Raw genomic sequence first — 16,660 nt, 5'->3', positions numbered from 1 at the left:
ACCTGCACGTTGTGCACATGTACCCTAAAACTTAAAGTATAATAATAAAAAAAGAAAAGTACCTGGAACAATTAATATTTGTTGAATCAATGAATGAATTAATTTTAAAAAAAGCATAGAATGGGCTGGGTGCAGTGGCTCATGCCTGTAATCCTAGCACCTTGGGAGGCTGAGATGGGCAGATCACTTGAGGCCAGGTTTCGAGACCAGCCTGGACAACATGGCAAAACCCCATCTCCACTAAAAATGCAAAAATTAGCAGCGTGATGGCACCTGTGGTGCACCTGTAATCCCAGCTACTTGGGAGGCTGAAGCACAAGGATCGCTTGAACTGGGGTGAGCTGGAGGTTGCAGTGACTTGTGATCGTGACACTGCACTCTAGCCTGGGCAACAGAGCAAGATTCTGTCTTAAAAAAATAAAATAAAAAGCATAGAATGTGCAAGTCATATCTGGAGACAACAGTCTTAAAGGGACTGCTACTGAAGCTCCAAATTATTGTTATCAGGCCAATCCTATCTAGGAACTACCTTTATTATATATATTGGATATACCACCCTACGTGCATATATATATATATGGTATATATACCACATATATATATATATACTATATATGGTATATATATATATGGGGTATATATATATGAATAGGGGTGTATATGTAATATGTGTAATGTGTATAATGTGTATTATATGTATAATGGGAGATTACAAAGTGTGTGTGTGTAGGTATATATACCCCCTACCAACACACACACACACACACAGGTATAATGTGCATTACATGTATAATGGGAGATTTTAAAGTGTGTGTGTATTTTAATGTGTGTGTGTGTGTAAAATACACACACACACACATTAAAATCTCCCATTAGTTCTGCCTTTTCGTTGAAGGCTGATGATACAGATTTCAACATTGAGATCGGGTTCCCACTACACCAGGGGCTAAGGAAGAGTATGTGTGATATGTCTAGAGAGCTTCTTAGTCCTCCCGTGTTTTTCGATTAGAGTTAATGGAAGATCACAGCAACCCCATCCAGGCAGGACATCTAATGGTTCAGACTCTTCCGTAATGAAGGTTTGAGTCATCCTGCCAGGCCAAGCATCATGACCAACTGACATGCTATCTCAGGGCAAAGGGAATGTGAAATGGGTAGCGAAAGAACGTAGTGATAAATACCAGCTACAACACTGTGAGCTGCTGCAGAAACCACGACTGTAATAGTATTTACCTAATGGGTTAATAATATCTACCAGCACAGGTGGGAATACAAAATAACCAAAACACAAGTTATCCTTTCAAATAAAATGCTTTGGGAAAAAGAACATCTTTTACTAACAGAAATTTCTTAGCCTCTGGAAGGCTATTTGATTCGGTAACATATGCCAGGAGACTTCAGCAATATCCTGCTCCATTGTAGAAAACAGCAATCTGATCCTTTTCTCTCCTCAATCATTAACGAGATTATGCATTTGGGGTGTGATAATCCTCCAGGGACAAGTATTCTCAAATCATACGTTTCAGTTTCTTCTTAAGGTGCTTAACAAAGTCTCGTCTCATACATCTGAAAAGAAAGAGACATGTCATTAACCAAAAGATAGCCAAAGAACCTATGCTGTAGGAAGCGCTGTGACAGATAGAAAGATGAAGTAACAGTCAGCATGGAAATAGAAATGTATCTGCATGGTAAGAGGCAGTCTAGCCGGCATAACAAATGCTGGCAAGGGTGTGGAGAAAAGGGAACCTTCATACACTGTTGGTGAGAATATAAATTACTACAACAACTAACTATGAAGAACAGTTTGGAGGTTCCTCAAACAACTAAAAATGGAGCTATCATATGATCCAGCAATCCCACTGCTGGGTATATACCCAAGAGAAAGGAAGTCAGTGTACCGAACAGATATCTGCACTCCCATGTTTGTTGCAGCACCATCCACAGTAGCCAAGATTTGGAAGCAACCTAAGTGTCCACTAACACATGAATGGGTAAAGAAAATATGGTACATATACACCACAGAGTACTGTTTAGCCATAAAAAAAAGAATGAGATTCAGTCATTTGCAACAACACGGATAGAACCGAAGGTCCTTATGTTAAGTGAAATAAGCCAGGCACAGAAAGACAAACTTCACATGTTCTCACTTATTTTTGGGAGTAAAAGTGTAAAACAACTGAACTAATGGAGATAGAGAGTAGAATGACAGTTACCAGAGGCTACAAAGGTTAGTGGGGGTGGAGGGTGTGGGAAGTGGGGATGATTAATACGTAGAAGTATGGAATAAATAAGATGTCGTATTTCATAGCCAAACAGGGTGACTATAGTCGGTAATAATTTAATTGCACATTTAAAAATAATGAAGAGTATAATTGTATTCTCTGTAACGCAAAGGATAAAAGCTTGAGGTGATAGAAACCCCACTTACCTTGATGTGATTATTACACATTGTTGTCTGTATCACAATATCTCATATAGCCCAGAAATATATGCATCTGCTATGTGCCTACACAAATTTTTTAAAAAGAGGTAGTCTAGCAAATACAAAGAGTGTCAATTGAGGGACAATGCGCACCTCAGACTATGGTGAAAATGGAAGTCTCCATAGTCTTCGAAGAATGAGTTACACTCAGATAACATTAGCCTAAGTAACTGTGGAGACAGCCGTAACTGTGAGTGAGGACCAGGGTTTGAGAAACGCAAGGCAGGGGCTGTTCCCCAACGCTCACCCCCAGTGCTCTATTGAGCCCAAGTGCTTAAAGAAATTGGACAGTTCCTATTTCTACCCACCTTGCTGCTTCCTTGATGATGGATTCAAAAAATCGCTTCCTGACTGCAGTAGGTCCTTGCACTCCTTCAAGCATTTCGAAGATTTTTTCATATTCTGAAGATGTTGAAAAAAAAAAAACTTCAGTATTATCAAATATAAAGAAGAATAGAAGTGAATCTACACCTCAGCAATCATGCTTCAGAGGCTGAAATGTTTTAAATGCTTAAATCAAGATACCTGCACATACAAAACCTAAATAATAAAAAAGACACCTGCACATACATACGAATGTAACTCCTTTAACCATAACCAAGTAAGAAAAGAAAAAGAAAAAATGTACATGCTTTAGTCAAAGAAAAGAGGAACCACCATAAATTATGTGCAATCTCAACTCTGGCAAAGAATGAAACTCAACAGGCAACATGAATATCTTCTGAATCATAGAAAGAGAGACTTCCTATAGTTTTATAAAACAGACATTCTTATATTACTTACTTTGTCCAACGCATCGGAGTTCCTTCACTAATTTACGTTTTATATCAGCATTAATTTCTCGTTGGCTTTTGGGAGAGGAGGCTGTTTCTCTGCATTCTAGGTCATCTCCAGAGAAACTGCTGGTAACGTTTCCTCCCACAGGTGCATTGCTACCAGGTTTCTGCATCATCCTATCTTTGCTGAAACCAGTGAAGTCATCAATCTGAGAATCCAATTGGCTGGGTGGAATAGCATGTCCTGTCATAAGCTCTGGTGAAACAGATTTTGAGTAAAAGCCATCAGTTGGTGTTTGACCACTTTCTTTCCCCTCCACATAGACCTCATGAATGACAGCTCTGGAAATCAAACTGAGAAGCTGAGCTGTGAGATATGTGTGTTTCATCACCCCTCTGGGTACATCTATGTGCTCCTCAGTTTCTAGGGAATTATTTATTTCATAAATGGGAGGATACACCAGGGAGAAATCCCAGGCCTGACAAACGGAGGCCAGGACACATAATACAATAAAACCACCTCTTATTTTCTGGCCCTATGAATAGACATGGAAACCAAGTAAGGCAGTACAACTCTAAAGCAACATTCACAGATCCCTGGTACTCATGGGACAGTTTCAGCTTGTTATGCTTTACAAGTTGAAAGCAGCAAGTCTCACTTGATATCATGATTTCTCAAATTCACTTACAAACTGCCATGTTTTACTAAGCTGGAAGCCAGACAACTTGGACACACCTCAACCAGCCTCCTCTCTACATCAAACATATTCTGAGAAAATAGAGGTGGCCATTACTGCTGAAAGTTCTACATGTACTCCATCAACAAAAAATCCCTTTTAGTGTATGATTTTCCTCATCCTTCCTTTCTGTCTCACAAAAGTGACTTTCTTTTCACTCCAGGTCTGACACCTCTCATTTATTCATCGTCTGTGGCAGGCAGCGTGCCGGTAGCTGGGGATCAGCAGTAAACAGCCCAGAGAGCAACGTTCCCTGCCCTTCTGGAGCTCACATCCTCATGGGGCGGTCAGACAGTACGTGCACAATGAGCAAATGAAACATACAGTGTTGGGCTAGTGGTAAGGAAGCAGTCCACAGGCCTGTGGGCAACAGCAGCAGAGGGAGCCCCAGGAGCTGCTGCTGGTTGGGCAGAGCCTTCTGTGGAGGTACCCTTGGGCAGGGCTTGAAGGAGAAAGCAGAGCTGCCTGCGCAGAGGCAGAGGGGGAGTTCCAGGTTGCGGTGAGGCCAAGGATATGGGCTGGAGTGGGGATGGACCGGGCACTACGGGGTGAAGGACAGTAGCAGAGAGAGTCAGGAGATGATGGGGCCCGTGTGAGGAGAGGGTGACGGAGGCCAGGCCACGCAGAACCTCACAGACCAAAGCTGCTTCGCAGTCGGTTCTGAGTGCTTAGGAGTGTTGAGGATGGGTGTTCAGGAGCGACATGGCATCACGTGATTTACATGCCAACATCATGACCCGGCTGCAGGGTTGGAGGGTATGTGTTTGATGCGGGAAATAATGGGAAACATGGAGGTATCTCAGGAGCTCAGTGATTGATCGTGGCAGAGTGGAATAGAAGGAGAGAGAGAGATGCTGGGGTTCAGGAATTTTTTGCAGTATTTAGAGAAGAGAAGAAAAAGAAATGTAGAAAAAAACAATGATGGGGTCGGGGGCGGTGGCTCGTGCGTGTAATCCCAGCACTTTGGGAGGCTGAGGTGGGTGGATCACCTGAGGGGGGGAGTTCCAGACCAGCCTGGCCGACATGGCGAAACCCCATCTCTACTAAACTTACAAAAATTAGCTGGGTGTGGTGGCTGGTGCTTGTAATCCCGCTACTCGGGAGGCTGCGGCAGAAGAATCACTTGAACCCAGGAGACGGAGATTTCAGTGAGCCGAGATCGCGCCACTGCACTCCAGCCTGGCTGAGAAGAGCGAAAGTCCATCTCAAGAAAAAAATGATAGGGATTCACCAATACGGACAAGAAATTAAAAAAAAAAAAGATTGTCGGAAATGGAAATCCTAGAAGGTTTTCATGAAGAAGCGAGTGAACAACTGTCAAATGCTGCTGAGAAGTTAATGGCAATGTCAGCCGAAACTGTTAACCTTGACAAGGACAGTTTCTCTGGAGGGGATGAGGCAGGAGCATGAGGAGGACGTGAGGACAGGCTTACTTACTCTTTGCTTTGGACATGGCAGAGCCTGCAATAAGGCTGTCTCCTGCTCCTTGTTTCCTTGCCAACAGGGCCATCCTCTGCCTTTTCTGATACGAAGGACTGTCACATTCCCTGGGACGTTTAAACACAGTTTCAGGATCTACAGCCACCTTCTCTGTTTTATCGGTCATTGTTTCCTGAAAAACATCAATGAATATATTCTATTCATGACAAAAATCTAACAATCACAAAATGGCAAGCAATCTGCATATGTGTATACAACCAAGACTTTGAATCATTAATTTCACTTTTAATCATGAGCCAAGATTTACCAAGTCTCAACAAACACTCTGTTCTCAGGAAAAGAAACCTAATTTTAATGTACACAAAGTAAAACAGAAGAAAGATGGTATAACCAAATCAATCAGAATGCTTGTGGAATAAGCAGCTGTCATCAACCAAAAATAGATAAAAATATTATTACCTATTTGAAGATGTATAAGCCAATCTGTATTAACCCTTATTAGGAAAAATAGCTGTATAAACCAATCTGTATTAACCCTTGTTAAACATTATATTTTAAACTATATATTATACATTATATTATGCAAAATATGTATTTAATATATAAGTATTTATACTTATATATTCAAATAGATGTATAAACCAATCTGTATTAACCCTTATTAGGAACTCTTATTAGAAGATTGATACAAAACTGATAACAACATCTGACAAGGAATTTAGAAGAATGAAAAACTACAAGATCAAGCCAAAAATACAAGCCAATATCACCCCTGAACTTAGACACAAAAATTCCAAACTAAGGGTGAGCAAATAAAATGCAATAGTACTTAAAAAGGACATACATCATGGTGGAGTATATTGCAGAAAGGCAACATTGATTTAACATTTGATAATCGATAAATGTAATGCACCACATTAACAACAACAACAACAGCAACAAACAGGGAAACACCACATGATCATTTTCATACATGGTCAATGTTTAAAGTCCATTCGTGATAAAAACTATCACCAACTTAGGAAAAAGGGCAAGTTTCCTATTCTGGTTAGCATATGTACAAAAAATTTTTAAATGCCATACTTCATAGTGACGTATCAGTATTTTCTCCCTGAGTTTGAAAACAAGACAAAGATGTCCACTATCCATTCAACAATCTATTGGAGGTTCTAAAAAGTGCTGTAGCATCAGGAAAATACAATAGGTTTAAAATTTGGAAAGAAATAAAACTGTCATTCACAGATGACATTGTTCTGTACATAGAAAAATGCAGAAGAATAAAATCATTACAGTTAATAAGCAAATTTAGTCAACTTACTAGATATAATGAAAACCAATGGCATTTCTGTATAATTAATAGCAACAAATAATTAGAATATGAGATTTCAAATGTCATTAAAAACAGTACCAAAAACATCAAATATTTAGGAATAAATTTAATCAAGATGTGGTACAGCACTACACAAAAATTATAAAACATCACTCAGAGAAATTCAAGACTGCAGTAAATGGAGAAAAATATTCTTTCCATGCAATGGAAGACATCATTTTTTTTTTTGAGTCGGAGCCTCCCTCTGTCGCCCAGGCTGGAGTAGAGTGGCACAGTCTCTGCTCACTGCAACCTCCACCTCCTGAGTTCAAGCAATTCTCCTGCCTCAGCCTCCCGAGTAGCTGAGATTACAGGCGCCTGCCACAACGCCTGGCTAATTTTTGTATTTTTAGTAGAGACGGGGTTTCACTATGTTAGCCACACTGGTCTCAAACTCCTGGCTGCAAGTGATCTGCCCACCTCGGCCTCCCACAGTGCTGGGATTACAGGCGTGAGCCACCATGCCTGGCTGGAAGACATTATTAAAAGACATTATTAAAAGACATTATTGTCAAGTCTCTCAGAATGATCCTAGCAATCATATTTAAAATTCCACCATGTTAACAAAAGTTTTTCTGAAAATTCACAAGCAGATCATTTTTTAAGTATATGCAAATTAAAGATTTGGAAAAGCCAAGTTTTTTTTAAGCCAAGGAAAATACAAAGTTTTTTTTAAAGAAAAAGAACTAAGTTAGTAGATACGCACTACTATATATGAAATTTACTATAAAGGTAGAGTAATTAAAACAGTGTGGTACTGGAGCAATGACAGGCAAATACACCAAGGGAAGAGGACACAGAGGCCAGAAACAATCTGGAAATACAAAATACAGAAGAGTTGTAAATCATTGTGGAAAAGACAGTGCTTTTAATAAATGCACTTGATAAATGCAGGGAAAATACAAACCTTGACTCTTACTTCTTCCCACTCCACAAAACTTTATTAAAGATGGATAGACAATCTAGTAAACACTTAAGATACTGTCTTCACAACTATAGTATAGGCAAAGATGTTTTTAATGAGGATAAACAAGCACTAACCATAAAGAATGAATTGTTTAATTAGACATAATTAAATGGAAAAGTTCTGTTCCTCAAAGACACTATTAAGAGGTGAAAAACCAAATCATGTTTGTAGATTATACATTATGTAGTATATAGTATAGGTTATATATAAAATATATATTACTTACACACATATATACATATTTATCTGGCAACAAATGAATGGAATCCAGAATATATCCAGAACTACAAATGAATTTCTAAAAAACAAACATCCCACTAAAATTTGGGGGGAAAAGCTGAATATGCACTTCATAAGAGTCATACTCTAATGGCTAATAATCACATCAAATATATCTGGACTCTGACTTTACTCCATTCCATGAGAATTTATTTCTGATGATTGGGAGATCTAGAAGAAAACTTAGAATATTATCATCATGAGTGCAAATTAGTTCAACCATTGTGGAAGACAGTGTGGCGATTCCTCAAGGATCTAGAACCAGAAATACCATCTGACTCAGCAATCCCATCACTGGGTATATACCTAAAGGATTATAAATCATTCTTCTATAAAGACACATGCACACGTATGTTTATCACGGCACTATTCATAACAGCAAAGACTTGGAATCAACCCAAATGCCCATCAATGATAGACTGGATAAAGAAAATGTGGCACATATACACCATGGAATACTTTGCAGCCCTAAAAAAGAATGAGTTCATGTCGTTTGAAGGGACATGTGTCAGCAAGATAACACAGGAACAGAAAACCAAACACCACATGTTCTCACTCATAAGTGGGAGTTGAACAATGAGAACACATGGACACAGGGAGGAGAACATCACACAGTGGGATCTGTTGGGGGAGGGGGGCTGGGGAGGGATAGCATTAGAGAAATACCTAATGTAGATGATGGGTTGATGGGTGCAGCAAACCACCATGGCATGTGTCTACCTATGTAACAAACCTGCACGTTCTGCACATGTATCCCAGAACTTAAAGTATTTTATATATATAAGTATTATATATATAAGTATTATATACATATAAGTATTATATATATAAGTATTATATACATATAAGTATTATATATATAAGTATTATATACATATAAGTATTATATATAAGTATTATATACCTATAAGTATTATATATATAAGTATTATATACATATAAGTATTATATATAAGTATTATATACCTATAAGTATTATATATATAAGTATTATATACATATAAGTATTATATATAAGTATTATATATAAGTATTATATATATAAGTATTATATATAAGTATTATATATATAAGTATTATATATAAGTATTATATATATAAGTATTATATATAAGTATTATATATATAAGTATTATATGTAAGTATTATATATATATAATATATAAGTATTATATATAAGTATTGTATATATAAGTATTATATATATAAGTATTATATATATATAAGTATTATATATATATAAGTATTATATATATAAGTATTATATATATATAAGTATTATATATATATAATAGTAATGGCATTGGGTGATTCAAAGATGTTTCTTAAATAATAAAAAGCACTACCCATAAATAATACACTGACTAATAAAATTAAGAGAATCTGTTCATCTAAAATACATTATTGAGATCGTGTAAAAGCAAAAAAGATTTATAGAAGATACTAAAATTGTATACGTATTTTTATATATGTACATATATGCCTGCGTGCATGTGTATATAACTCAAATACAGAATATATGGAAACTACAAATCCATTTTTAAAATACAAACATCTCAGTAAAAGCTGGAGGAAAATACCTGAAAAGGAACTTCATGAAAGACATAGTTAAATGACCAATAAACACATAAAATGGTGCTCAAAAAAAAAAAAAAACAATAAATAGCTGGGTGTGGTGGCACTGCAATCCAGTCTGGGTGACAGAGGGAGACCTCATCTCAAAAGACAAACAAAAATCAATAAATAAAAACAATTTTTTTAAAAAGGTGCTCAATCTCATTAATCGGCAGAGAAATGCGAGTGTAGACATAAGGAGAGATCACTGCACACCCATCGGAGTGGCTGGAATGAAAGACTAACTGTACAGCGAGTGTTCGAATGTGGCACAGCTGGAACCTTCGAATATTTCTGGACTTCCATTCCCACACAGACACCTGAGGCTGTGGCCGAAAGGTCAGATAGAGTCCCGGTGAAGAGTTCCTTCAGAATTGAGATCAACCCACCGAGGAAAAGCACCCCAACCTGGGTAGAGACAGAGTTCCCAAGGTCACGTGGCCTCCCTCATGGCTGACACAGAGCTCCCTGAGTCCCACCATAGGCTTAGAGAATCCAAGGAACAGCACCCCATTCCCCCGCAGCACCGGGAGAGAGCACCCACCACCAAGACAAAGCATCCGGTAAGCGTCCACATCGCGGATAAGCAGAACCAAAGAAAAGCCAACACATCCTAGCTGAGAGTGAGCGACATCCAAGGGCAAATGTGCCTCACGGACGACATCAGCACCCAAGGAAGAGTCCCTCGCAGGTTGAGATAAAGCCCCCGTCAGCGATCCCACAGGGCGGCGATCATGCGTCTGGGACACAGCCACCCCCACCATGTTCCATGAGAACAGATAGAGTCCCCAAGGCAGAGCCCCCGCTCAGGACTGCGACTGAGTGGGAAAGAAACAGCACCGCACCCGAGGCCGACACAAGCAACCAAGGCATGGCCCCCACCCCCGGGCTCAGGTCATTTCAGTAGGAAAAGTCCCTAGCATCACCGAGACAGAGCCCCCAAGAAAAGCCCCCCGGCCTCACAACATGGCTGAGACGAGGTGCCCAAGGAAAACGCTCCCCCGCGGCTGACACAGGCGCCCATGGCGGTGTCCCCAGAGCTGAGCCACTTCCCCAAGGGAGCCCTACCACACACCAGACAGAGAACACCACAGAAAAGACTCTTTCTGAGGAAAAAGGACACTTTCTGGGGTGAAATTAAAGCATCCAGGGAAAAACTGCCCCACTCACAGTCCTTAAGTCCTGACCTTGCTGGAGGAGAGACAGCAGCACCTCACAAAATGGCAGTGAAGTTGTGGCGCCTCCCCACTGGTGGCACTTTCTAGAAACCTGCCCTCTGGGAGTTGTGGGAAATGTGCCCCCTAGGGCACCTGGGAGTGATGTGCATGGGGAGGCGTCTCACCAGAAGCACCGATCCCGTTTGGTCCAAAGGGGATGGAAGGAAGGGAAGCAGCCAGCCACAGTGTGCTGGCCCAGCCGAACACTGGGAACCTGTTGGGGGCGCCAGAATCCTGAGGTGAAGCCTCGTGCCCCAGAGAACCAGGAAGCGCAGCCCTCCCCTTCGCTGACTGGCGCCCTCTACAGGCGACCTTCAGTAACAACTGCACAGCAACATAAGCAGAGGAACGCAGAACCTTCTCACACAGTGGGATGAAATCGCCTGGGTAACATAGTGAGACCCCGGCTCTACAGAGCAACCAACCAACCAAAAAAAAAAAAAACACACACAAAAATTAGCTGGGCATGGTGGCGGGCGCCTGTGGTCCCAACTACTCGGGAAGTTGAGGTGGGAGGATCGCTGGAACCCAGGAGGCAGAGGTAGCAGAGAGCCGAGAACGCACCACCGTACTCCAGCCTGGCCATAGAGGAGACTCTATCTCAAAAAAAAAAAAGGAAAGAAGAAAGAAAGAAAGAAAGAAAGAAAGAGAGAGAGAGAGAGAGGAAGGAAGGAAGGAGAAAGAAAAGAAAGAAAGAAAGAAAGAAAGAAAGAAAGAAAGAAAAAAAGAAAAGAAAAGAAAAGAAAGAAAGAAAGAAGAAAGAAAGAAAGAAACGACAACATCAACAAACTGAAATCTTCATTGGATGGGGTTGTGTTTTAAAGTCAACCCCAACGGGCGCTGTGGCTCGCGCCTGTAATCTCAGCACTTTGGGAGGCCAAAGCAGCTGGACCACCTGAGGTCAGGAGTTCGGGACCAGCCTGGCCAACATGGTGAATCTCGTCTCAACTAAAAATACAGAAAATTAACCGGGCGTGGGGCGCGCACCTGTAGTCCCAACAGCTACTTGGGAGGCTGAGGCAGGAGAATCACTTGAACTGGGGAAGTGAGGTTGCAGTGAGCTGAGATCACACCACTGCACTCCAGCCTGGGTAACAGAGCGAGACTCTGTCTAAAAATATAAATAAATAAATAAATAAATATAAATTCAACCTCTATCTGTTAAAGGTAACAGTTGTTAATTGATAAGAAAAATGAGGGCCACAGTGTGGTGGCTCATGCCTGTACCCCAGCACTTTGGGAGGCCAAGGTGGGTAGATTCCTTGAGCCCAAGAGTTCAAGAGTGGCCTGGGCAGCATGGTGAAACCCCGTCTGTACACAAGATACAAAAATTAGCTGAAAGTGTACTTGTGGTCCCAGCTACTTGGGAGGCTTGAGACCAGGAGGCTTGAGACTAGGAGTTTGAGGCTGCATTGAGCTTTGATCGCATAGCCTGGGTGACAAAGTGAGACTGTCTAAAAAAAAAAAAAAAAAAAAAAAAAGAAAGAAAAAAAGAAAGGAGGGGAAACCTTATTATATTGCATCTATTAATCATTTTAATCTGGAACTTTGTATATTTTTCCACCTTTTTTATTTTTTTTGAGACAGAGTCTGGCTCTGTCACCTAGGCTGGAGTGCAGTGCCATAATCTCGGCTCACTGCAACCTCCGCCTCCCAGGTTCAAGTGATTCTCCTGCCTCAGCCTCCCCAGAAGTTGGGATTACAGGCATGCACCACCATGCCCGGCTAATTTTTGTATTTTTAGTAGAGACAGTGTTTCACCACATCGGCCAGGCTGGTCTCAAACTCCTGACTTCAAGTGATTCATCTTCCTTGGCCTCCAAAAGTGCTGGGATTACAGGTGTGAGCCACCACGCCCCGCCCATTTTTCCACTTTCATAACTTATTTTAAGTGCAGCAAAATTTACTTGAATTGTTCATAGTGGCAAAAAATATTACAGCGAAAGTTTTGGAGTTTTAATGGAACAAGCAGTTTCACTCTTGACACAATTATTTGGAAGGGATTACTTCACTGGTTTTGTAATTCAAAAGTTATGTTTGTAAAAAAAAAATTAAAAATATAGCCAGGCATGGTGGTGGGCACCTGCAATCCCAGCTACTCGGGAGGCAGAGGCAGGAGAATCACTTGAACCTGGGAGGCACAAGCTTCAGTGAGCAGAGATCGAGCCACTGCACTCCAGCCTGGGCGACAAAGGGAGACTCCGTCTTAAAATAAATAAATTAAAATTAAAATTAAAAATTATGTTTGTTAAGTACCCTGTCAGAAGAGAGTCATTTTCAGTATTATAGCTTCCTAGCCTATTGTATTAATATTTGCCTGTGTTTCAGAACCTTTACAGAACACATTTTCTTTTGGAATATATTTGATTGATAGGAAAGCTTAAACATTGTTTTCACTTCGATGTAGGAACACAGTTGTTTTGTTTGTTTCTTCTAGTGTTATCAAAATGAAATACTCATTTTTGCATTAAAAAAATCCCACCACAGCAGTACTCATATGAGTATTTGATTGAATAACCATGAGACTGGAATCTTGTTGGGGCTTAATTAGAATCCTGCCTACCACACAAGCCACAAGTGGACAGCTGCATGTGACAGTCCTGACTGGGACAGCCCTGAAGGACAGTGATGAAGGGAAATCCTCCCAGAGGGAAGAACTTTGAGCAGTGCACCTTCTTGGAGGAGGCATATCCAGACGTGTAAGTATGTACCATGCATAGGCTGTGTCCCACTCATTCGCTGAATTGTCAGGGACATTGAGGACACATGATTAAAAATTTCTGTCAAGGACGTCTGAGAAAAAAAAACAAATATGTGGACAGACCTTTCCAAGTGGACATACAATGTGAAGATATTGGGGTCTCATGAGAGTTCTCAGCAAAGGGTATCCTCAGCAGAGCAGAATTTAATAATCAGATGGATAAGGTACTTATTATCTACATATTAATTAGCCTCTTTCCCCAACACTTGTGTCACAATCTTATGGGCTCAACAAAGTGGTCAAACTGTCAAGGATGGAGATTATGCGCAGTAGCATGGACTTCCACTCACCATGGCAAACCTGGCTACAGTCATTGCTGAGTGAACAATCTTCCAGGAATGGAGACCAACACTAAGCCCCCAATTTAGCACCAGACTCCAAAATGATCTGCCAGCCACTAGTTGGTATGTGGATTACAATAGATCACTTCTATTGTAAAAAGAGAAGTGCTTTCTTCTTACCTCAACAGACATTTAGTCTAGATATGGATTTTCCTTCCCACTTGCATTGCTTTTGAGAAAACCAATATTTGTATCTTGGCTTCCAAAATTCTGGAAAGCGCTAGTTCCTCAAGTTCCTAGGGTTATTCATTCTGGAGACTCTAGTATACTCTGCAAGAAAACCTGTAGGCCATCCACCAGAATGCCCAAATGGAGTCACTCTTAAATAACAAGCCCTGCATGTTTCCAGAAACTCTATTTATCAGTGACAAGTTTACTATGGCAGCCATTTCGCCACCCAGGACAGTTGGAGAATGGCAGATATTAGGGACCATTAACTCTGTAAAATCTATAGAAGACTGCAGTGAAGAATCACAGTTACAGAACGAAAAGTGACAGTCTTGTATTTTGGATGTTTGTTCAAAGAGGATATACAATTAATAAAGTGGTCAAGGAATAGGTTTCACCTTTAATACTAAAAACTAACATAGAAACTTGTAAAGGTGTCAAAGTGTAGTAATCCTTTTCATGTATATCTGGTTAAGATTTAAAACTGAAGCTTTCTTTTTTAACCTTTTTAAAATTATAAATACCAGAAGGGTACACGTACAGTTTTCTCACTTGGGTATAATTGCATAATGCTGGGGTTTGGGCTTCTAGTGAACCCATCACCCAAATAGTGAAGAGAGCATCCAATAGGTAGTTTTTCAACCCTCCAACCCGCTCCCTCCCTCCCCTCCACTTCCCTTTTGGAGTCCTCAGAGTCAATGGTTTCTACCTTTATGTTCATGTGTACCCATTGTTTAGCTCCCACATATGAATGAGAACATGCAGTATCTCATTTTCTGATTATCTGATTTTGTTTCTGTGTTTCACTTAAAAGTGAAGTTTTCGCCAGACACAGTGGCTCACGCCTGTAATCCCAGGATTTGGGAGGCAGAAGTGGGTGGATCGCTTGAGGTCAGGAGTTCCAGGCAAGGCTGGCCAACATGGCAAAACCACATCTCTACCAAAAATACAAAAAATAGCCGGGGCCTGGCGCGGTGGCTCACGCTTGTAATCCCAGCACTTTGGGAGTCTGAGGTGGGCAGATCACTCGAGGTCAGGAGTTTGAGACTAGCCTGGCCAACATGGTGAAACCCTGTCTCTGCTAAGAAATGCAAACAATTAGCCAGGTGTAACAGTGCATGCCTATAGTCCCAGCTACACAGGAGGCTGAGGCAAGAGAACTGCTTGAACCTGGGAGGTGGAGGTTGCAGTGAGCCGAGATCGGACCATAAACTTAATCAAATTGTTGTTCCAACTGCAGCTGCTGTACTGCAGGTGGTTTTGTTGCGTCAGCAACCGTGACATCCCTGGCAACCTGATATATAATATTAATTAGGTGAATGTTTTGTTTACTTTCAGTAGTTGTCATAAAGAAGAGTTTGGGTCCAGCTAGAAAGGACAGCAATGTACTATCATCTCCTCTTTCAACCTTATATCAACTCTCAAGGTTTATATCCTAAACGAGTCCTTAGGGACCATGACCACCTTTCTCTTAAACCAGATGTAACACCATTCTTTGCACTGATGACATTATGCTGACTGCGCAGGAGGTAGCAACTAATCCAGACACATTAGCGACACACTTACAAGACATTATGTGAGAAATAATTCCCACACAAAATCAGGGACCTTCTAACTGAGTGAAACGTTTAACAATCTAGTAGTCTGGCATGTCAAGATGGTGTTCATAAGGTGAACAGGAAGTTCCTACATCTTGCCTTTCTTACCACTAAATAAGGAACACGAAGCGAGTTGCATAATAGATGCTTGTTTTATCAATGTTGTGCAGTACCGTGACACATTGACAAGTTAGTGAAACCCTGCTAGCGAAGACAAGGTGCCCAAGGAAAACGGTCTCCGACGGCTGACACAGGCACCCACGGTGGTGTCTCCAGAGCGGAACCACATCACCCAGGGAGCCGTACCACACACCCAACGCAGAGCACCCCAGAAAGACACTTTCTGGGGCGATATTAAAGCATCCAGAGAAAAACTGCCCCACTCACAGTCCTGAAGTCCTAACCTTTCCAGAGGAGCGGCTGTGGCACCTCACAAAATGGCAGCGAAAATTCCACCACTGGCTGTACTTTCTGGAAACTTGCCCTCTGGGAGTTGTGGGATATGTGCCCTCTAGGGTACCTGTGAATGATGTGCATGGGACGCATCTCACCAGAAGCACTGATCCCGTACAGCCCAAGGGGGATGGAAGGGAAGCTGCTGGCCACCACTTGTCCTGCCCCAGCTGAACACTGGGAATCTGTTGGGGGCGCCAGAGTCCCGAGGTGAAGGCTTGTACTCTGCAAGACCATGGGCTCCAGCCAGGGGAACCAGGAAGCACAGCCCTCCCATTCGCTGACTCTGGCGCCCTCTACAGTCGGCCTTCAGTAACAACTGCACAGCTACGTAGGGAGAGGAACGCAGAACTTTCTCACACAGCGGGATGAAATCGCCTGGGTAACATAGCCAGACCCTGGCTGTACAAAACAGCCAACCAACCAAAAAGAAAAACACAAAAATTGGCTGGGCGTGG

The 16,660-nt window shown here is 41.3% G+C and overlaps 1 protein-coding gene across 4 annotated transcripts, besides 1 other annotated feature; it reads right to left on the bottom strand.

Annotated features, from left to right (window-relative positions):
- Window positions 1–1,313: 1,313 nt before the first annotated feature.
- Window positions 1,314–16,144, bottom strand: CT45A1 (cancer/testis antigen family 45 member A1). Of its 4 annotated transcripts, none has more exons than XM_011531352.2 (5): window positions 16,137–16,144; window positions 5,433–5,607; window positions 3,266–3,514; window positions 2,791–2,884; window positions 1,314–1,566 (listed from the first exon to the last, which is right to left on the bottom strand). In XM_011531352.2, the coding sequence occupies exons 2-5, from the start codon at window positions 5,599–5,601 to the stop codon at window positions 1,509–1,511; spliced, it is 570 nt and encodes a 189-aa protein (XP_011529654.1). In that variant the 5' UTR covers window positions 5,602–5,607; window positions 16,137–16,144; the 3' UTR covers window positions 1,314–1,508. The 4 variants fall into 4 exon arrangements, with proteins under 4 accessions (XP_011529654.1, XP_005278198.1, XP_047298129.1 ...); XM_005278141.5 differs by lacking the exon at window positions 16,137–16,144 and adding an exon at window positions 11,007–11,093; XM_047442173.1 differs by lacking the exon at window positions 16,137–16,144 and adding an exon at window positions 10,835–10,903.
- Window positions 16,375–16,434: an enhancer, noted in NCBI's record as "active region_29985". NCBI's record gives its function as "activates an Ori minimal core promoter by ATAC-STARR-seq in GM12878 lymphoblastoid cells {active_cell/tissue: GM12878}" and the evidence as "EXISTENCE:reporter gene assay evidence [ECO:0000049][PMID:35858748]".

Source organism: Homo sapiens, chromosome X (assembly GCF_000001405.40).
Source record: "Homo sapiens chromosome X, GRCh38.p14 Primary Assembly".
In the NCBI taxonomy this organism is placed as follows: Eukaryota; Metazoa; Chordata; class Mammalia; order Primates; family Hominidae; genus Homo; species Homo sapiens.
This window is presented reverse-complemented; position numbering and strand designations above follow the sequence as displayed.